Source organism: Homo sapiens, chromosome 12, assembly GCF_000001405.40.
Source record: "Homo sapiens chromosome 12, GRCh38.p14 Primary Assembly".
In the NCBI taxonomy this organism is placed as follows: Eukaryota; Metazoa; Chordata; class Mammalia; order Primates; family Hominidae; genus Homo; species Homo sapiens.
Genome location: NC_000012.12, coordinates 38,865,081 through 38,888,156, shown reverse-complemented (window position 1 = coordinate 38,888,156; position 23,076 = coordinate 38,865,081). Strand labels below are relative to the sequence as shown.

At 36.0% G+C, this 23,076-nt stretch overlaps 1 protein-coding gene across 7 annotated transcripts in view; it reads left to right on the top strand.

Moving 5' to 3' along the window:
• The window catches only part of CPNE8 (copine 8), a 254,633-nt gene that overhangs the window by 18,679 nt on the left and 212,878 nt on the right, over positions 1-23,076 (top strand). For all 7 annotated transcript variants that reach the window (XR_245896.5, XR_007063052.1, XM_017018852.2 and 4 more), the window contains exons 2-3: positions 13,646-13,686; positions 15,107-15,153. Coding sequence is in view for 4 of the 7 variants with exons in the window: in NM_153634.3 (NP_705898.1) it covers positions 13,646-13,686; positions 15,107-15,153 (88 nt within the window). In the remaining 3 variants the exon portion in view is untranslated. The remainder of the gene's footprint in view (positions 1-13,645; positions 13,687-15,106; positions 15,154-23,076) is intronic.

Sequence of the window (23,076 nt, the reverse complement as noted above, 5' to 3'; positions counted from 1 at the left end):
AGTGGTGCTTGGAAGGCAGCAGTATGTGAGCTGATGTTGGGTAGAGTGATGTTAGCCTCCAGCTTTCTACTTAGTGGAGATCTGTAGGCACATCACAGTCATCAGCTCTTGCTTCTTGGACAAGTGATCCATTGCACTGACTCTGGGAAAAGCAATAAACCCTAAAAGACTGCTAATCTAGCTAATTGTGTAAAATATTTGGAGGATCATTGTCCACTTAGCTGTTAGCAAGTGAGCTGAAATGTGGTTACTGCTTTTAGAGTGGGCAGGAGGAGAGACTGAGAAAAATAATGATATATAATCTCAAGTGTTGTAACGTAGTTAGGGAATGGTGTAATGTATTACAGGCTTAGCAAAAGTTTAGAGCCAGAAAGATCTGGATTTAAACGGCAACTCCATACTTTACTCTGAGAGTTCAGATAAGTTAGTTTCCTTGTGCTTCTGTTTATAGAAATTCCTTCTGATACAGTTGTATAAGGATTGTTTGAGATAATATTAATAAAGTGTTTTGAAAGTTTCAATAGCTTAGCAAGGAATTCTTGTTTTTATACAGATATTCAACTGAAATATTTGGAAAACAGTAGATCACTTCATGAAGATAAAGTTGTAAAAATATGCAAAAAAAAATCAAATTATGTTGAAAAGAGCAAAGGAGAAAGTACAAATCACCCCAACTTTCTTACCCAGCAATAGGTCAGGCCAAGCAGATATCTCTTTGTGCATTTATTTAGAGGCATATAAGGCATATTTCCATTCATATTTATTTTACAATGACTTACGTAAGATGGAAGTCGAGTTTTTTTCCTTGGATTTTGGCTTCAGATATTAATACCTGAACCTAGCTGCTGCTTTTCAGGCCTAGTACCCCCTGCCTGGAGAGCATCTCTCCAAGGGAATGATCTCAGCTGTGGTCTCAATATACCCCTCTTCCTATCTGTCTGCCTCCATGGAGCCTTCACTGCTGTTGTTAAAACATTGCTGTTGACAGTGCCACTGGGAAGTTGCAGTAATGTCCTATTGCTACAAGGCCTGGCATGAGACCTTGCTGTCTGCTGTCCCTGTAACCCTGTATGTAACTCTGCTCATTGCCTCCTGGTGCTTGTCTCTCTTGATTTACCAGATCTTTGTGGTTCTATGTGGTCCTTCTAGGTTCAGTCTCAGTCAGAAGTCCTCCTTACCAAAGACTCCCTGGGTGTCGTCATTTCTTTAAATCCATATATTCACAACTTTTTTGCTCTGTGGGCACACACCCCACAGTTCCAGGCTCCAGACTGTGTGGGCCTGTCTTTGTCTCTGAATCTGGGTCTCCCATCTGAGCTCTACCTTCTTTTGTAAAGAAATTCCTCTCAGAGTTTCCTATTATATATTCCTTCCACCAGACCCTGGCTGGGCCGACAGTATAAACTTAAAAAGATATCAAGAGGATTCATTTTTCATTTTACCAGGAGGCTCTTTGGCCCCTTTTAATTTCATAGAAGGCAAAAGGAACTTGGAGGAGCAGCCTTAGGCTCACATTACATCTCTTCTTTCTTCTACAAAGTGGACTTGAGATCAGGGCTTAACTATTCCCATACACTACTCTAGTAGTGCCTGGCACATAATACATGCCCAATAAATCTGTGTTGAAAGAAAGCATGAATGAATATTTTCGAATGAATTTGACCTTTTTCCTTAATCACAGTTTAGGGCTTTATCACTTAATTTAGGGCATTGCACACCCACTCTACATTATTCTCTTTGCCTTTGCCTCTAGATAGTTTTTCCAATATTTACTATATGCTGGGTTTGCTCTAAGCACTTTATATTTACTTACTTACTCCTCAAACAACTCTATGAGGAGGATACTATGATCATCTCCTTTTTTACAGATAAGAAAACTGAAGCCTAGAGAGTTTTAGTTTACACAGCTAGTAAATGGTGGAACTGGTGGTTCCCAGTTGTAATGACTGTTCAGAGGTGGCACCCTGCCAGGTGATGACAAGTCCATGAGATCTGGTGATTGTACTGAAGTGGGGAAAAGCTGGCAGTCTCTTCTTGGGTGCCAGAATTATAAAATATGAAGCTAATAACCCCAGCCATCTATATTAGCCTGTTCTCCCCTTGCTGTAAAGAACTACCTGAGACTGGGGGTAATTTATGAAGAAATGAGATTTAATTGGCTCACCGTTCTGTATGCTGTACAGGTAGCATAGCTGGGGAGGCCTCCAGAAACTTTCAATCATGGTGGAAGGCACAAGGGGAGGCAGGCACGTCTTTACATGGTGGAGCAGGAGAGAGAGAGAGAAGGGGGAAGTACTACACACTTTTAAACAACCAAATCTCCTGAGAACTCACTATCACAAGAACAGAAGGGGGAGGACTGCCTCCATGATCCAGTCACCTCCCACCCGGCCCCTCCTCCAACATTGAGGATTACAATTCTACCTGAGATTTGGGTGGGGACATAGAGCCAAACAATATCAGCATCTATGTTTCCCACCATGTAGTTTAGAGAAGTAGAGGAAGCAGTTAAAAAAAAAAGATTGAAATAGATAATACTTGCACACAGAAAAGCAGTTTGGATATTTCTGCCCTTGTTTTCGTTCTTCTCACAGGGTCAGCTACATGCCTGAATCTGGGCTGTATAAAATATCTGTATTTTCACCGTAAATTTCCCTTTTCTTCTGTAACTTACAACTAAATGAGTTCTATTCATGCAGCTAATATTTGTCTGTCTCACAGTAGAGCATTATCTTATTTATTTTATTTGCATGTCATTGCTCATTATTCAGGATGAACTTTATTTAAAATGTGAGTGACCAAATATATTTCTTCCTCTTATAAAATGCCAATTCACTTCTTTAAGTCATTTTTCTTTTGGGGTGCTTATACTTTTTTCTCATTAATTTAGAGAATGCTTTGTATATTTATAGCCTTAACATTCTTGTATATGATATATGTAACAAATGTTGCATTTTGAGTTTAATTATTATATCATTTTCTGTATATAAGTTTAAAATACATTCATTATCATATAAATTAATTTTTTCTCTAGGCTTCATATAAAGCTTAGAAAGTATCCTTTATGCCAAAATTTTAAAATAATATGTTACATTTTCTTCATCTTTTTTTCAATTGATTGTGGTTGATGATTTTTCTCTGTAATTTACTTTAAAATATTTCAGCAGAGAGTGTCATATAGATGTGTGTGTTAGACTGTAGAGTTAAATCTCAAGGATCCTAATCAGTTTTATATACTTTGGGTGTGGGGAGTTAGCATTGGAAGTTTAATCAGTAGCTCATGCTCTGGAAGTGGCTACTCCTAACTGGTAGACTGTCTTTACCCTTTATCAACACGAGAGCGTTTTGTAATTACAATGGATGTTAGGCTTAAAAAAACCAAACTGATAAAACGTGTGGTGATCAGGTATGTGGATTGACTACTTCATACCACTATACAATTATAAAAAAAAAGACTGACAATAACATTGGAGAGGATGTGGAGAAATTGGAACAATTATATATTGCTGGTAGGAATGTAATATAATGCAGTCACTTTGGAAAATAGTTTGGCAGTTTTTTCAGATTTTAAAAATAGTGTTACCATAGGACCCAGCAATTCTGTTAGGTATGTACCCCAGAGAAGTGAAACCATATGTCCGCATAAAAACTTGTACAAATCTTCATTGCAGTATTATTCATAATAGCCAAAAAATAGAAACAACCCAAATATCTATGAATCGATGAACCAAAGTAGTATATCCATACAATAGAATATGATTTGGCAATAAAACGGAATGAAGTACTGACAGATACTACAACATGGCTGAATCTTCAAAACATCATGTACTTGAAAGAAGCTAGTCACAAAAAGAGCACATATTGTATATGATCATGATTCTATTTACATGAAATGCTCAGAATAGGCAAATACATGGAGACAGAAAGATTAGTGGTTACCAGGGGCTCGGGGAAGTGGAATAGGGTGTGATTTTTGATGGGTTCAGGGTGTTTTTGGTGGGAGGAGAGAGGAAAATATTCTAAAATTAGATAGTGGTAGTAGTTGCACAACTCTGTGAATATACTATCAACCACTGGATTGTACACTTTAAAAGGGCAAATTTTATAGTATTTCATTTACCTCTGAATAAAACTGTTATAAAAAGATACTGTGGATTAGCTAGAAATATTGCTCAAGTGAACGGGAGATACATGCCTAGTGACCTTTAGAGTGGTGCCGTAGGCCTAGGGACGCCTTAGGTAATGGATATAAATGTTTAGAGAATTCTCTACACTTATCTGACCAGAAAGTTAGACACTGTCAACAGAATATTGTCACATCTGCCTGAAGGTGCTATTTAGAGTGTCTGAAAGGACAGGGAGCTGGAAGTTGATTAAACTGATGGAGTACACTGTGTGACTGTTTTGAGTTCTTCTTGGTAATGAATATTTGTCACTTTGGCACAATTTGGCCTGAGACTTGCTTTCTTGGTAACATACTATTTTGGAGTGAGGTTATAGTGAGAGCTGCATAGCTCACATACTTCAGCAATTGAAGGCAACATATCACTACTAAACAGCCTAGTTGGATAGAATGATGAACAGTTGATACCCAGGAGAATTATTGACTATTATGTATTCATCAAGCTCCCAATCACTCTACTGAATTATCTTATTAATTTAAAAAGCTTTTATTTGTTAATTCTCTTGCTTTTTTCTGTGTACAAAATTAAATCTTCTGCAAGTAATTTAATTTTTCTCTTTCCAATACTGCCTAATTTTTATTTTATATCTTTCTCTGTAGAGTCTCTGAAATGATGCTAAATAATAACATTATTTGCAGCTCATTTCATTTTGTTCTGAATGATATAGATGAATAGTGTAACAAAAACAGACATCAAAAATCAAAATCAAATTCAGAAATCAATAGAAAATTTGCAAAGCCGCCTCCAAGTGTTTGCCTTTTCTGTGACTTTGGCCACTTTATTTAACCTCTCTGAATTTGATTAACTTATTTGGAAAATGGATCCTGCTAATAATTGCTACTTGGTAGGATTATGGTGAGGGTTAAGTGAAATGATTTATTTAAATGCCCAGCTCAGCGCCTGGCACTTAGTAAATAAATAGTAGGTGTGCAATTTGTGATACAGATTCTTGTTGAGTGTGATGGGGCACCTGGGGGAAATAATCAGTTCTGCATGCTAGGACAGAGCCATGGAGAGAGGCTGAAAGAGGAATTCTCATTTCCTAGCAGGAAAGGGGTTGGTGAGGAAATTTTGGGAAACAGAATGCTATGGGTAAAACGTCTAAGTGTAGAGAAGTGTGAGGCAGGATTCATTTGAGGGACTGCAAAGAATCTGAAGTGTCTGGAAGCAAAGTCTGTAAGAAATAATATGGATAGAGGTGCAGCTGGAGACATAGCCAGGGGTCAGAATGTGGCAGGTGCTCAGTGCAGTGTTACGGAGTTTGGAATTTCTGGAGGTAATGGGTTTTTTGCAAGCGAGGCATTTGCTCAAGCGTTTACAGTAGAGAGCTTTCTCCTGGAGGTGTCTTGGTGAATGAACTGGGATATGGGAGACAAGATGACCTGTTACTGAGGCGTCTTGCTTGGAGGAGAGGTTGGACAGTGTTACTGGCTGTACTCGTTTCCTGTGGCTGTTATAATAAATTGCCACAACCTTGTTGGCTTAAAAGAACAGAAATTTATTTTCTCACAGGTCTGGATGCCAAAAGTCCTAAATCAGTATTGCCGGGCTGAAATCAAGGTGTTGGCAGGGCTGATGTCCCTCCAGCTGCTCTAGTGGACAATCCATTCTTTGCCTTTTCCAGCTCCTGGTGGTTGCTGCTAGCATGCTTTGGCTTGTGACTGCATCACTCTAATCTTCAAGGCCAAAATCTACAACTCTCTCTGTGCTGTCACTGTCTTGTCTCTTCTGTAAGTGTCAAATCTCCCTCTGCCTTCCTCTTATATATGATATATGTGATTGAATTTTTGGCCTTCCAAGATAATCCAGGGTAATCTACTCATCTCAGGATTTATAGTTTAATCACGTCTGCAGAGACCTCTTCCAAATAAGGTCACATTTACAGGTTCCAGGGATTTGGACCTGATATGTTTGGGTGTCCATTATTTTTCTTTCACAGTTGTCATTTACTAGGACAGAAAATACAGGAGCCATAAGATTGGGGAAAAGGTAATGAATTTAGTTTTGTACCTGAGATTTAGGTTTTTAAGAAGACCCATATCCTGCTCTCAGTCTCTTTTTTTTCTCCATTTTTTTAAAGCATAAACATGTTTCCCTTTTCCAGCTGAAATCAGGAATTGCATTCTGTATCTTTTTCTGAAAGCTTGCATTACCCTGAGTTAACCCTCCATTACTTCAAACCCGTAGGTTCTTGTATTTATCTCAGGCTAACCAGAGCTCTGACATGTCAAGTTCTGACAAAGCATAGGTTTCTTTTTAAGTAGTTTCCAAGGATATCAATCACGGTTGAATGCTTCAGAACGAATATAAAAAATTTTACAGTTAATTCTCCTCTCCTCAAATTTCTGTTAGTGTCTAACCCAAATTCACCCATGCAAAGGTTGAAACTATAATTTTATAACTGGCCTTTTCAGCTTAACAGTAGTAATAAGTACTTTGAACAACCAATTTCAGCAGAAACTGAAAAATAACTTAAAATTTCTTTTATCCCTAGTGTCTGTTGGGTAATATCTGTCATTTATGATAAAGTTCTTGCTGTATATTCAGGCTACCAGAGGAAGCTGTTGAACTGAATTTTTTAGTCTATTTGTGCAGCTTCAAATCTGAAAGTCAATTATTCTTAACTTTCTTGAAAGCCAGATAATCTTGTTAAGTACTTTCCAATGACCCTATCCTTCAGAATTACTTGGTATCTTAGATGCTAGCTGACTTCGGCTTTTTAGTAAGTTTCGGTTTTAAAATATTTCTTTTTTTTTTTTTTTTGAGACGGAATCTCGCTGTGTCCGCCAGGCTGGAGTGCAGTGGTGCGATCTCGGCTCACTGCAAGCTCCGCCTCCCGGGTTCACGCCATTCTCCTGTCTTAGCCTCCCGAGTAGCCGGGAATGAAGGCGCCCGCCACCACGCCCAGCTAATTTTTTGTATTTTTAGTAGAGACGGGGTTTCACCGTGTTAGCTAGGATGGTCTCAATCTCCTGACCTCGTGATCCACCCGTCTTGGCCTCCCAAAGTGCTGGGATTACAGGCATGAGCCACCGCTCCCGGCCTTTTTTTTCATTTCTAAACCTTTCCTTTTTGCCTGTACACAGTTTGGCTCCCCTTGCTATAGAAATTGTAGTTTTGGGAAAAATATTTTTTCCTGAAGTGTGTTATGTTAAATTTCTCAGGGTATTGTTTATTCAGTGAATAAAAGAATGAATGAATCAGAGAGAATTAAACATTGCATTTAAATCACTTCCAAAGATTAAATTTGCTTTCAGTTGCTCAAAAAAAGTTTTGATTTCCTTGTCTTCATAAAAAAAATTCTGAAAACCATTTTGTGTGTATGTACATTAAAAAATATATATACATACAAATAACTTTCTGATTCCAGTCCATAAGATAACATAATGCCCTAAATAAAGGCCGTGGGCATGGTTCAGTGACACGGGGCTCAGTGATGCTGTCACTCTCAGGGATTTTCAGTTAATGGATTACCTATTAGAGCAAAGGCCCCAAATGCTAGATTCCCCTTCTACTCTGCCTTCTATAATAAAACACCTAACCTTACCTAAAGTGAAAAAAGATGGTGCTTTAGATTGGAGACTAAAACTCTTTGTTCATTCAACGGGCCCCACTTATGTGCAAGCTTGTGCTAGTTAGTTTCTGTAGCTGCCTAAGCAACATTTGGTAAAGACTTTGCAGGCTATCAGTGGTCCAGAGACTACCCTGAAAAATAGATAAATAAAAGGCCCTTAATAATTTACAAAATTTTAATTAAAACCAGAATCATTCTGTTTATTGACACAGGGCAATTTGCAGGGGACATTATGATTCAGAGATACTGGTCTCTGTCCACATGTGGAAAATTTATTCTGGACAGTGTTTGCAAAATGATAAAGCATTGTTTGGCTCTACTTATAAACTGTATTTTTGTCCCTATAGAAAATTAAATATTTTTTGTTGGGCTCTATTTACAAACTATATTTCCATTCCTGTTGAAAATTAAATAGAAAAATTGCACTCAAGGTACAGCAGTAGATTTTTTAATGTGTTGTTTCACTTCTGGTCACAGTGCTTTTTGGAATTAATTTTATGTCTCCAAGTTGAGGACTTAACCCCTAAAACAAGTATCTTGTATGTTTTTTTTTATTGAATTAGAACTTTAAAAATTTCTAATTTTTTAATTAAATTAGAACTTTAAAAAGATCACAAATAGCAAAATTGCCTTTACTCTGAAACTATTAACTTTAAAATTCACACACAGGTCGTCTTTTTCAAATTTCATCTGTGGAAGGATAATGATATTTGTTTCCCTTTTAAAGGATTTTTTAACAAGAATATTTATTAGGTGATTTTATCTGCTGAGCAGGAAAGAGTGAGTAGCATGCCTGCAACTTTAGGATTAACTCACAAGTCACTTTTTACTTTAAATACATCATGTTTTGCTCATTATACATATGAAGAATTCAAAGTTTTTATTTTCTACTATTAAATCCTTAATACATATAAATATAATAGACAAAATACTTAGCTTTTTAAAAATAATATTGCAGGATTTTTTCCTTAGTTTGGCTAAAGACAGGGTCCTTGTCCCATGGCCATGAAAATTTAGGCTCACAGACAATTCGAGGAGGGAGAAAAATGGGATGTAGTTGGCAAAAAGGAAAAAAAAAAGGGGAAACAGAGACTCTCTGTAAAGCCAGGGTCCCTACTGGGCTGCTTCCTATCTGGCAATTTGAATCTCAGGTTCTACGCAGGAAGAGGAGTGGCCAGGCTCCTCCCCGCTGCAAATGGGGCAAACTATGGCTCCACCACAGTGTGCATTCCCAGTGCACAGGCTGGTTGGAGTTTTGCCAGGGACCCCCTCCCACCTGACTCTCTCAATAAGGTACTTATTTCAGGACATATATTTATTTAGATCACTTAAATTATATATATGATTATCGATTATTTGAAAAATAGTTGGAATAAGAACTAATTACTGTACCTGGCTTTTGTTGTTGTTGTTGTCGTAGCTGAATCAATTTGACAGTTTTTAGATTACTGTTCTTTCTCCCTATAATAAACTGTGATTTTATACACCATCCTATATTGCTGTTTAGTTATTTCTGTAAATAAAATTCAGCCTTCTTGAAATAAACCTTTAATGCAGATTGTATTATTTTTGATAGTGCTTAGTTAGGTCTTGGCCATAGATTATTTGCTTGAAAAATACTTGCAGATTTGCTTTGAAGTTGAAAGAGAATTGCTACTTTCCAGTTTGAGAAAGACAAGCATGAGATACAATTTTAAGAGGCTAGCTGGCTGTTCAGTGTGGGTCTCAGAATGCCGACTGACAATAAAAACTACAACAGTAAAGACAACTGTGATATTCATATTGGCTACTCAGTAACTACTATATGGGAAACTGTCTTAAATTTGGAAGATGACTTGTTGAGCATAAAATCAGAGCAGGCTGGGTTATCAGATGAGCTAACTGACTGTTGTGTTTAGGAGAAGGCAGGCTGTTCTCAAGGATGAATATGCATGAGAATTGAGTAGGAAGGCACAGGAGTCAGGGAATTCTTTATCTTGGATGGTTTTGGAAAGGTGTTGCTAAATTCCTGCTTATCTACTTTTTAATTTACATTTCACGCAAAATACACCTCTCCAGTTAACCCAGTGATGTTACTAGAAAGGTGTCCCGATCCAGACCCCAAGAAAGGGTTCTTGGATGTTGCCCAAGAAAGATTTCGAGGTGAGTCAATAAAGTGAAAGCAAGTTTATTAAGAAAGAAAAGGAACAAAAGAACAGCTACTCCATGGGCAGAGGAGTGCCGAGGGCTGCTGGTTGCCCATTTTTATGGTTATTTCTTGATTATATCCACGGGGTGGATTATTCATGCCTTCCCTTTTTAGAACATATAGGGTACTTCCTGATGTTGCCATGGCATTTGTAAACTGTCATGGCCCGGGTGGGAGTGTAGCAGTGAGGAAGACCAGAGGTCACTCTCATCACCATCTTGGTTTTGGTGAGTTTTGGCCAGCTTCTTTACTGCAACCTGTTTTATCAGAAGGGTCTTTATGACCTGCATCTTGTGCCAGTCTCCTTATACTGTGACTAAGGATGCCTTAACCTCCTGGGAATGCAGCCTAGCAGGTCTCAGCCTTATTTTACCTAGCCCCTATTCAAGATGGAGTTGCTGTGGTTTGAAGACTTCTGATAGTATTTCTTCCTACAGGTTAGAATTAAATTGGCTGGGCCTCGGCTTTAGTTATGCTATTTCAGTTATCCCCCTTTAAGCTCATAGTCTAGGAATTTTAATGGAATTTGAGGATGAGTGGATACTAGAACAACTCAGGCAATTTATAGGTTATAATTTTGATTAGATATTTCATCAGATAATTTTTCTAACTTGTACACTGTATTTTTCCAAAATTTCTATTGAAGAATTTGTTCTTTTGTATTAGCTACATCTAGATTTGCAGAATAGAAAGACATGTTCAGGACTTTTAACCTAGTGTTGATGTTCAACATCATGTTATAAAATGGTAGGAACAAAGTTACAGGCATCCTAGCTCAAGCAGATGACAAGTCCATGGAGGGAAGAGTAGCCTTCTCATATAAAATCTGGTCATGGAGGGGTGTGTGTATGTTTATTTTTAAAAGTGCAATATATAAAAAACAAAGATTTTTTTCTATGAAAAATATAGTGGGTTTGGCCTCTCATTCTGGTTTTCTGTCCTCATTCTATAAGCAGCATCTCTCTTTATACTAGTCTATGAACAGGAATTTATTTTCCTTTATATTCATGTGGTAGGTAAAATTGGAGGCCTTTGACATTTTCAATACTCATAGAAAATAAGAAGTCTTCTGGATTTCTCCAGAAACTGAGGTATTTTGTAAAGAACAGAAGAATCAGATTCAGAATGATTGGTACCATTAGATTATTCTGTACTGGGCTGTGTACATTGACTCATTCACTCACTTTCTCTGAGCCCCAGCTTAGTTTCTGAATTTATGAAATGGCCTTCACAATAATACCTATCTTATTTTACTTAATGTGAATGGGCTTTGCTTCTAATAGGATATTGGGAAGATAAAATTCTTATTCCTAAAATAAATCTAAACTGAATGGTGCATTTTAACAATCACTGGTCTTTTGCAGTGTATACATCACTAAGAATATTTTCCTTTTCCAACTTTGCGATCATATATGCTTGAGTAAAGTAGTCTTTTGGGAATTCAACCTGTCAGAGATAATCTATTCTATTATATTCATATGACCAAAGTACAGGTAAAATTATTACCAAATATAATTGGAAAGTTAAATTGCAAATTTCAGACTATGTTATGAAGATTTATAGATTTTTACTTGTCATTATACAAAGGGTTTTTTGTTGGCTTGTTTTATTTTTGATCTTACCATTATGTGTTATGGATCACAATGGCTGAGTGAAACAATGTGACAAGTAAAGTTTATGATTAAGAATACTAATCTCAGCGGGGTGCAGTGGCTCATGCCTGTAATCCCAGCACTTTGGGAGGCAGAGGTGGGTGGATCACCTGAGGTCGGGAGTTTGAGACCAGCCTGACCAACATGGAGAAACCCTGTCTCTACTAAAAATACAAAATTAGCTGGGCGTGATGGCACATGCCTGTAATCCCAGCTACTCTCGGGAGGCTGAGGCAGGAGAATCACTTGAACCTGGAAGGCGGAGGTTGCAATGAACAGAGATCGCACCATTGCACTCCAGCCTGGGTAACGAGTGAAAGTTCGTCTCAAAAAAAAAGAATACTCATCTGTCCTATTGTTTATAGAAATCCTTTATTTTGTATTTGTGGTTAAAACTTGTAGTTTATTTTTTTTTACATAAGTAAGGCATTGAAACTACATGATTTTCTGTTAAATACGTACATAGCATAGTTTTTGAGTCACAGCCACATCACAATATTTTGCACTGTCATCTCTGTTTTTTTGTGAATTCTGAAAGAAACAGCATAATATTTTCCTAGGATACCTAATGAGCAAAAGCTTGAGTCACAGGAAGGATTGGGAGAATTCCCACTTAAGTGAAGAACTACCTTTGTATAATAAATATAATGTCACAGTAATTTCTCAAATGGAAATGTTTTAGTTTACTGTTTGCTAACCGTTGCTGGAGTCATGGTGTCTGCTCAGGGGACAGAAAGGATTAATTTAATGTGATTACTGACTAGTGGTCTTCTAATCTGATTTAATTCCAAATATGAGTATGTCTGATGTTTCTCCTTTCTAGGAATATTTCAAGACATGATCTCATTTCATTGTTTGTGCTGCATTGGTTTGTTGAATATGTTTTTGTTTTTTCAGTGTATAGTGATTCAATGGCGGCAATCACTTTTGAGAACCTGAAATAAGAAAGGATGCCAGATTTATATGAAAAAGGGACTTTTCAGATACCAAGGGCAGTACAAATAAATGCACATGAATAGTAGTCCTAGTGGAAAATAAGACAGCTTGAACACGAGATTTTTATTATAAGTATTACAAATTGAAATGTAATTTAGCTACTCCATTTTAATTAATGGAAGATGATTATTAAACACAAATTTGAACTTTTAGAACCCTCAAGTCATCATTCTAGATAATCAAATTTTTCAGAAAAGCATATAGCTTTAAATCATAATTTTATAAAAACTAATTTTAGGTGGAAATTTTTCTAATAATTTCCTGCCTTGTGAATCAGAGCATATTGAATTTAACTTTTTAATGAGTACTCAGGGTTATTGTTATGAGCATAAAGTATAGGACTGCATTACTACCACTGAGGGTAGCAATACACTAGTATCAGAGGAATCCAGGCTTTCCTACTTTCTGATTTTCCATTGTTATTCTATTTTAGAAATATCTGGAAAAAAAAGTACTAATAATGGCCTTGTGTACTTTTTTAATGTTTACTGAAAAGAGTCTTCAGGCAACATCTCTATGTTCATCTTAAATTCCGAAACCGTAATAGCAACATAAAACTCATCAGGGTTGATGTAACACAAATGTCAGTAGATGCTGCTTCACAACTGTATTCTAATTATATGGACTAACGTGATCATGTGCTCTGAACTGCAAACAATTTTGCATTAATAACAACTCACAATTCAATTCAGGAAGCATTTCTGAACACCTTTATATTCTTAATGAAGGATTAAATGGAAACCTAAAACAGTTAATTCTCTCAAAGAGATTTTAATCTTAGGATGTAAGGAGTCATGTTATTGGTTAAGTGGAATGAAAGTCTGAGAAAATAAAAGCTTTCTCTTATTTTTGGAGTCCAGTGATGTTCAGTCTGAATATATACAAGCAGACCCTTGGGACATGTTTATTTAGTCATATATATGTATATGTGTGTGTATGAGTATGTTTATATATATATACACAATTATGTACATACACATTTTAATATGTCTATATAAATATAAATATTTTGCTTTTATATCCAGCTAACATTTTCTGTTTTATTCAACAGAAATCTTCTTGACAGAGACACATTTTCTAAATCTGATCCAAGTAAGTATGTATTGCTTGCCTTTTGAAAAATCATTTGATTTTGCAAAAGTTGTAGGAAACTCATAGTTCTTGTTTAAAGGTTTGTTTTAAAGCCTAGAAAGCAACAGGAGAATGGTCCCAAGCCCTACATACTCATCAACCCCGGGCAGTACTGTGGGTAAAGAGGGACTTGCTGAGCACTTTGAGAATAAAATGAGAATGCAAATGACTCCAATGTGGGACAGTTCACTTTGAAATTAAAACCTCGTACTATGGCCATTTGGTAGAAATTATTATATTTGAAAGAAAACTGTAATGGGCCATAATTTAAAGTTATTTAGTCACAGAGTAATACGTTTCTTTTTTTTCTTTTTTTTTTAAATGAAAGTGGTGGTCGGGCAAGGTGGTTCATGCCTATAATCCCAGCACTTTGGGAGGCCGAAGCAGGACTATTGCCTGAGCCCAGGAGTTCAAGACCAGCCTGGGCTACATAGTGAGACCCACCCAACCCCGTCTCTTAAAAAAAAAAGAAAGAAAAGAAAAATAAAATAAAAGTGGTATATACAATTTACAACCAAGTGAAATATGTAACATCTGATATGAACCAAAGTGTTTGATTACTAATTAGAGGTATTGAAAATTGGAGATAACTTGTAAAGTGAGAAGGGTAGTTTGAATTAGAAAACAGCAGAATGAACTGTATAAATCAATGTGTTTCCGAATCTTGTAATATTTAGAAATGGATATACAACAGTTCTCTATCTCTACAAATGTGTGAACAAATATGGTTGAATTACAGAGGGAAGGTTTTTGTCAGTTGTCAGAATTCTTGAGGTAGTCATTGGGAAAAAGGCATTGCAATTGTGGGTATTAAAAATTCCTGGGGCTCATTTGACAAGTGGGTGGGACACTTCCTTTCCCTTAATCTTTACCCAAAACTCTTAATCTCCCTTTTGGGAATTCCTTTCTTGGTTGACAGGATTTCTTACCTATTTATAAATATTAAGGGTGGAAGTTATAAATATTAAATGTAGAGCATGACTTGCCCCAAGTTTTCGTTCCTATTATACCTTTGAGCACTGTAAATATCTTAGGGAGAGCTTGGCTTGTTTTTCACAACATAATGAAATATTTCAAATTGTTTAAATTATGGTTTTAAAATTTATATATGAAGACCTTAGCAAGTACTTATTATTTTATGTGCCAAGCTCAATTCATACTAAGTTCTAAAGATCTGGCATAACAGTTTGTTTTCTGCTTATTTAAATCAATTTTTAGTCATATGATGATTTACTAGCCTTTTTTTTTTGCAAGGGTAAGTCTAGGAATTAGGCATTTAATTTTGATGTAGCTTTTGAACAGCTGAAAAATAAATTGTATACATTCACATATGATTTTCATAAAAGACATTTATATGTGCGTATTTTTTCATCTTTTGTAGTTTGTGTCTTATATGTACAAGGAGTTGGAAATAAAGAATGGAGAGAGGTAAGTTTAAAACTTTTTTAAAAAAATCACTGGGCTTGAAGATACAGTAAGTTATAACTTGATCAAGATGATACTTTCTATTTTCCATTGTAAGTCCTTTTGAACCCAAAGATTGAATTGTTTTTATCTTAGGAAAGTTACCTTTGTGTTTTGTTTTTAATAACAGTGAATGTTTAGCTGATTTATGACCTTCTTGTGAGATATTCTAGTCCTGAAACTTGTACTTCCTTTATCCAGACATAAATTTAATGTGTTGCAATCTATTTGACATGATTTCTTACAAAATTTAAGTTTGTGGGTTAAGTCTTATTTTTAGAGATCAATTGCTGATACTTATAAAATGCCACTTGAAAAGATTTCAGTTGTGTTGCTTAATACCAAATATTGCCTACTTTTTGCAACATATTTAAAAATAAAGTAGAAATTCAGCTTCTTAATACAAATGTATGTTGTTTAATGAAGCAAAAGTGAAGAGACTGAATTGTTAATTTATTTTCTAGAGTGTCTCCACATTCAAATGGGCGGATGATCATTGGAAGGTGGAGGGCATATTAAATAAAAGGCATTTCCATCTGCCTATAGTTGCCAGTTATCTCAGGAAGTTAGTGCATTGTTTTAATGAGGTTACAGTTTCTGGCTAGATTTCCCTAGTGAGGTTAGTGCTATTTGTGCCACAGAGTGCATTTGCCAGTCATTTTACCACTGTGTCTCAATTTTGAGTAGAGGGCAAGAATAAATCATTTAATTTATTCTTAAAACCTGGGGAAAATAATTCAAAGCTTGTTTCTACTGATAATGAGCTGGTGGTCAGTAGTCTGCTGAACATGTTTATCGTATCTAACTGCTTCTGCACATTTTTTTTTTGTTTGAGACAGAGTTTCACTCTTATTGCTCAGGCTGGAGTGCTATGGCACAATCTTGGCTCACTGCAACCTCTGCCTTCCAGGTTCAAGCGATTCTCCTGCCTCAGCCTCCCGAGTAGCTGAGATTACAGGCATGCGCCACCATGCCCGGCTAATTTTGTATTTTTGGTAGAGACGGGGTTTCTCCATGTTGGTCAGGCTAGTCTCAAACTCCCAACCTCAGGTGATCCACCTGCCTTGGCCTCCCAAAGTGCTGGGATTACAGGTGTGAGCCACCACGCCCAGCTCATTTCTATTTAGTTCAATATCTACCTCAAACTCTGTATATCAAATATAAACTCATCATCTTTATGCTATGTCTGCTTCTTCTTTGCTTCAAATATAGCTAAAACTACCAGCCAAAATATGAAACTGCAATTTTTGTAGTCATCCTGAGTTTCTCTCCCGTATCTTCATAACTTAATGTCATCCAGTGCTATGAATTCTCTTTCATAAAAAAGAAAAATCCATGCTTGGATAAGCCAGCCTTTTTATTCAGACCCATTTTCTCTTTTGTCCTCCCTGTTGCAACAATTCTCCTACCTTAGTATATGCCCCCTTTTTCCATGTTCATCTGTCTAATCATCCCTTTGATTATCTTCCTGAAAGACATGCTGTCTTGTCATTCTCTCCAGAGTTCCCTTTCTCAAAGGCCTGAAACAATACAGTGGAACGGCTTACTGACCATAGATGCCAGGCTAGATGGGACTGAGCATTGACCAGGGTGTCCACAAAATGGCTTTGCTTCAGGCACCAAAAAGTAACCAGGATAAGGATACCTAAGTTATAGTACCAGGCATCTGGGCCAGTGCAAATGACTAATAATGAGGCAACTGGAAACTTTATTGGATAAAGGGAGTTTGAAGAAGGACAACAACAAAAAATTTTGGACCTAAACCAGGGTTCTGGGAGTTAATTCTTAAGTGGGTGCTGACCAAGTAGTATTGGCCAGTTAGTTTAAGGGCAGCCTCAGCTCAAAATCTCCCTTCCTTAAAAAATTTCTCATGCTTTCCTATTGCCTAAGCAATGAATGATAAATTTCTTATTTAATTTACAATTTTTATAATAAAGATGGCTAACTAATGTTCCAAACCCTTCACAAATATTGACTAATTTAGTTTTCACAGCAACTTTAAGAGGTAGGTTATATTATAATCCTTATGTTTCATGAGAAAAATGAAACACAGAAAGGTTAAATGACTAGACCAAAGTTACCCAGTTGTAAATGACAAAGTGGGAATTTCTTTTTTTTAACTTTTAAATTATTTAAATTTTTATTTTTATTTTTATTTATTTATTTATTTATTTTTATTATACTTTAAGTTAAGGGGTACATGTGCAGAATGTGCAGGTTTGTTACATAGGTATACAAGTGCCATAGTGGTTTGCTGCACCTGTCAACCCGTCATCTACATTAGGTATTTCTCCTAATGCTATTTCTCCCCTAGCCCCCCACCCGCCGACAGGCCCCGGTGTGTGATGTTCCCCTCCCTGTGTCCATGTGTTCTCATTGTTTAACTCCCACTTATGAGGGAGACCATGTGGTGTTTAGTTTTCTGTTCCTGTGTTAGTTTGCTGAGAATGATGGTTTCCAACTTCATCCATGTCCCTGCAAAGGACATGAACTCATCCTTTTTTATGGCTGCATAGCATTCCATGGTGTGTATGTGCCACATTTTCTTTATCCAGTCTATCACTGATGGGCATTTGGGTTGGTTCCAAGTCTTTGCTATTGTGAACAGTGCCGCAGTAAACACACATGTGCATGTGTCTTTATAGTAGAATGATTGAGTTATAATCCTTTGGGTATATATCCAGTAATGGGATTGCTGGGTCAAATGGTATTTCTAGTTCTAGATCCTTGAGGAATCACCACACTGTCTTCCACAATGGTTTAACTAATTTATACTCCCACCAACAGTGTAAAAGCATTCCTATTTTCTCCACATCCTCTCTAGCATCTGTTGTTTCCTGACTTTTTAATGATCACCAGGCCATCTGGCTACACAGCCCTTGCTATTAGGCCATCTTGCTGTGCAGAATTCTTGTCTGATACCAACCTTTATGCTCTTCGTTTATAAATGGAAAGAAACTTTACCAATCAATTTTTGGGGCTTTATTAATATTTTCTTATGCTTGGCTTGGAAAGAAAGACAAGTAGAAAGAGGAAGCCTACAGTTTATGAGAAATGGCATAATATTAAAATAGAAAAAACAGAGTATTTTGCTTATTTTTTATTTTTGAAGGAGTTAAAAGTATTGGTAAGAAGGAATAATGATCAAAAAGGGTTTGAAAACAAAATGAAAATGGAGAAAATGATGAGATAGGACCCAGAGTTATATAGAGTAGGTGGGAGCTGAAGATGGCTGAAGATGGGGAAATACAAATTAAGAGGCATTTTCAACATAGTTTCAGAAGAGTGAAAAGTATTAAAGAGAGAATGGTCTGGAAGAATAGAAAGGAAGTGCGAAATGCAAGAGACAAGCATTTTGGAACATTTAGCAACTAATTGAACTTGCTGGATAATGAAAAGGGATCAAAAAATGAATGACACTGTGTGTGTTACTAAGCCCCACAAAACCATTTGAGAAAGAGTTTATTTTGAGAGCCAGCATAATGTTGTGGTTGAGGGCATGCACTTGATCTTTCAGTGACTCTGTTTCCTCATTTGTAACATGAGAAATAATGATAATGATTCTAGCTAATATAGCTGTTATGAGGATTAAATATGAATCACTTGTAACAGTATCTGGCACATAAGAAGTACTATACAATTAAGGATACATTATAATTCTAAGACATTAAACAACTTGTAAAAGGATAACAAAACTAGGAAGTGGCAGGTAGGTAAATTCCTGCATTATAAAATTCTGTAAAATTCTTTGCACAAGCCCAGCAGTTGATGGGAAAATGACTTATGGGATTTACTTGGCCTCAAACCTAATATGAAGCTGTGGTGTTACCTAGCTGCTAAAAAGCTAGTGCAATCTGAGGATCCATTGATGGATGTGCAGTGTTTACATCAAGGAAGATAATGCTATTATGTTGAACCATATGAAATTGTCATATTTTATAGGTCAGAAATGGTTGAATCTTGGCAGTTTCATGTGATTCAACTGAATACTATTGCATTTTGCTCCAGTGGAAAATTGCTTTTTTATCTACATTTCAAACCATTGGAAAGCCAAGGCTGTATTTGAAGAGGGCTGCCATTTTGAAGAAAGGGATAGAAACTATACCATACGAATAAAATAATATTTAATCTGAAAAAATGCAAAGACTGAACAATTCACAGTACTTTCTTCAGACTCTTAAAATATTTTCATTTGGAAATGGGGGTATACTTGATGTTCAAGAGAAAACAAAAAATTTTAAGCAAAGTTTGGAGAGACAAATAGATAATATTTAGTCTACTGTGAAGAAAACCTTTGTAACACTTAAAGTATCCCACAGTAGTAGGTTTTTCAGAGCTGTATCCTGAAAGTATAGCGCATTTACTGTTACTGGAAGTATTGAATAAGAGGCTGCATTGATTCATCAGGAAAGAAGTTGAACTTCATTATCTCTATTTTCTTACAAGTTTGTGAATTCTTATGATGCTATGGAGTTCAAAGAGTTTCCTAGTCATTTTATTAATTCTACCAAGTATCTTTTAAGTATTGAACACTATTTTATAAGTATGAAAAGTAGCAAAGCTACTGTAATAATTACTGTTAGGATTATTTGAAATCAGAATGGGAAAATTTAGATACTTTATTAATAGTTTTTAAATGTATCCTTTATTTATCAATTTGACCAATATTATTGGGTGCCAATTATGTAGTAGTGAATAAAATTTAAAAATAAATAGTGTTTCTACCTCAGGGAGCATGCAATATAATTGGAGAATTTTCTCAGCAATTTTGGTATATCTGTAAAATCAATTTATTGATGGAGGTATCAGCATTATCTCAATAATATAGTGGTTATGTTTGTATTTAAATTCAGGTATATTTTGGAAAAGCATGTATATAACAAGCCATATGAATTTATGTTCTGAGATGAATCACTTTTAGATAATAAGGGGAATAAGTGAAAAAATAAAGCTTAAAAATGTATTGAAACAAATGCTCCAAATAAATATAAAATTATTTAAAATTAATCTGTAGTCAAAATTTGTGGTTTAAAAATTATCTCTAACATGATTATAATTACCACTATATTGTTGATAAATTCTATCTAATGAGTGAATTATGAAAAACTCTTGAAGTAACGGATGTTGTAAAACTAAAATTATTTTTAGTGTGTAGTAATTTCAGAGCTAGAAATGATGTTTAAGCACCATGAATTATGAAAATGTGGAAACCTCCTAGTGGCAAATGGAAATAACAAAGTAACATCTCTAAGAATGGCCACTTTACTCAGAGTTGGGAGAATGTTCCAACTAATTTCTTGAAGTTAGATTTTAGTTATCCATAGACAATTCATTTTGTGAATTACTTTTAAACATTTAAAATTATAGAATTTGTTCCAGGTTCCCTAAGTTAGTATGTGATAAAAGAAGGCAAGTGGAAGTTGTTTATGAACTACAGTGATTATAGCATAGAGGCAAACAAGTCTGCTTTCAAATGCCGATTACTACAGTTTGACATTGTCTCCACTCTGCTCCATTCCATTGACACTGAGCTATTTTAACATTTATTCATCTCCATACTGAATAATACTTGTTTTGGTATCTCTCTCTCTCTCTCTGTCTCTCTCTCTCTCTCTCTCTCTCTCTCTCACACACACACACACACACACACACACACACACACTATACTATTCAACAAACATCAAGGACTTTTTTGTAAACTTACTCTCTTACATGTCTTAGCTTCACTGTTTAGCTTTGTGCTTCCAAAGGTGAAACCTCGTGCACAGCATTTAGAATATGGCTTTCTTTGTTCTTAAAAGGTGTTCAGGGCCAGGTGCAGTGGCTCAGGCCTGTAATCCCAGCACTTTGGGAGGGTGAGGTGGGCAGGTCACCTGAGGTCAGGAGTTAGAGACCAGCCTGGCCAACATGGTGAAACCCTATCTCTACTAAAAATACAAAAATTAGCAGAGTGTGGTGGTGGGCACCTGTAATTCTAGCTACTCAGGAGGTTGAGGCAGGAGAATCGCTTGAACCTAGTAGTCGGAGGTTGCAGTGAGCTGAGATCCCGCCATTGCACTCCAGCCTGGGTGACAGAGCGATACTTTGTTTAAAAAAAAATGTTCAATTAATATTTGATTGAACACCCAAATTTAGGGACACCCGAATTTAGCCTCTCAACACAGGCACATACAGTTTAACGTCATGGTTTCAGAATTTATGTGGTGGAAGAATCCCTATAGATAATTTGCTATGTAGGCCACATTTTTATATTAAATGTGAGAACATGTATGTGTCATGATAACTAGTTATGGGAGCCTAAGACTTGTTCTGCTGCCCTTTATTCTAAGCTTAACTACATGTTTTGGAATTTGAATTATAGCATCAATTGAAAACATGTTATATATCTCTTAAGGCTTAGGGATACTCATTACATTATTTCATTTTTGTCTTAGAGAAATACTATGATGAAACATACAAAGCTAATGATACAGGAGAGAGGAAGCTTTTAAAATTTTTAGGCCATAACTGTTGCTAATTGATTAAGCATTCTGCATGGCTACTGATACTTTCTTCACTATTGAATGCATGTTGCAGAACAACTGAATATTTTTATTTTGTTTTGTTTTCTGTCTTTTAGAAAAGATTTGAATTGCATTATTCTGCTGTGCATTCAATCTACAGCAACTATATTTCTTTAGTAGATATTGGAAGGAGTCTCACAATATGTATAAAGACTTCCTGTGATTGATTGAGGGGATTGTAACAGAAGACATTTGCTGTGTTCTTGTAAAAACAGTTGTGTGACATGTGGTTGAAAGAACTTAGTAAAGCCAATATATTTTATGAAATGCGTGGCCATTAATATTTCAACAAAAGTATGTTGTATGTTACTCAGACAAATACTGTATTGATCCACTTGGATTTCCAATGTCAGCAATACCAGTTTTGGAAAGAGATCTGCAGACTGGCATTGGAATCTTTCTGTTCAGAAAAGGACGTAAAATAGTATTTACAAACATTACTGGATATAGAGAGGCAGAAACTGTGGGTTAATATAAGTTACCTGTAGTTTATAAAGCTTAGTTGAAGTCTATTAGCTCTGTGCATATCATGTGTTCAATTGAACAAGTATACACTTTAGACAGAACTTTGCTGGTTGTTAGCTGAAAAGCAAATCCAGAATATTTTGATCTCTTAAATTATTTTTTCTGTCCCATTTTTAATATACCTTTTTATCAAAATAAAACACATCCAAATGAAGGGCACAAATTATACAGCACAATGAATTAGAAGTAAACACACCCAGGTAACCATCATCTAGATGAAGAAAGGGAACATTACTAGAAATCCAGGAATTTTGATTGTGCTCCCTCCCTCCTCCTAAATTGAACTACCATTCTGATTTCTAACACTATAGAATAGTTTTGCCCATTTTTAAGCCTTTTATATACATAGAATCATATAGTTTATACTTAATTGTGTTGTTTCTTTCAGTGAGCTCTATCCATGCCTGCGGCAATAGGTTGTTCATGCCTGTTGCTGCATGGTTCTCTATTTTATGAATATACCCCAATTTACTTATCCATTCTACTTTGGACAGATTTTTGGCTTGTTCCCAGTTACTGAATATTAATATCTGTCTAGAACAATCTTGTACATATCTTTTGGGTCTTACATTCACATATTCCTAATACATGTAGGAGTGAAATATCTGAGCCATAGGGGGAATGCATATTTTCTTCTTCAGTAGATACTGCCAAATGGTTTTCCATAACTTTCCATCTGCCACTTGTATTGCCATACATCTTTGCCAATGCTTTTTATGGCCAGTTTAAAAAATATTTCCATTCTTGTTAGTGGGTAAAGATATCCTACTTTGTTTTTTGATTTGCCGATGATTACTAT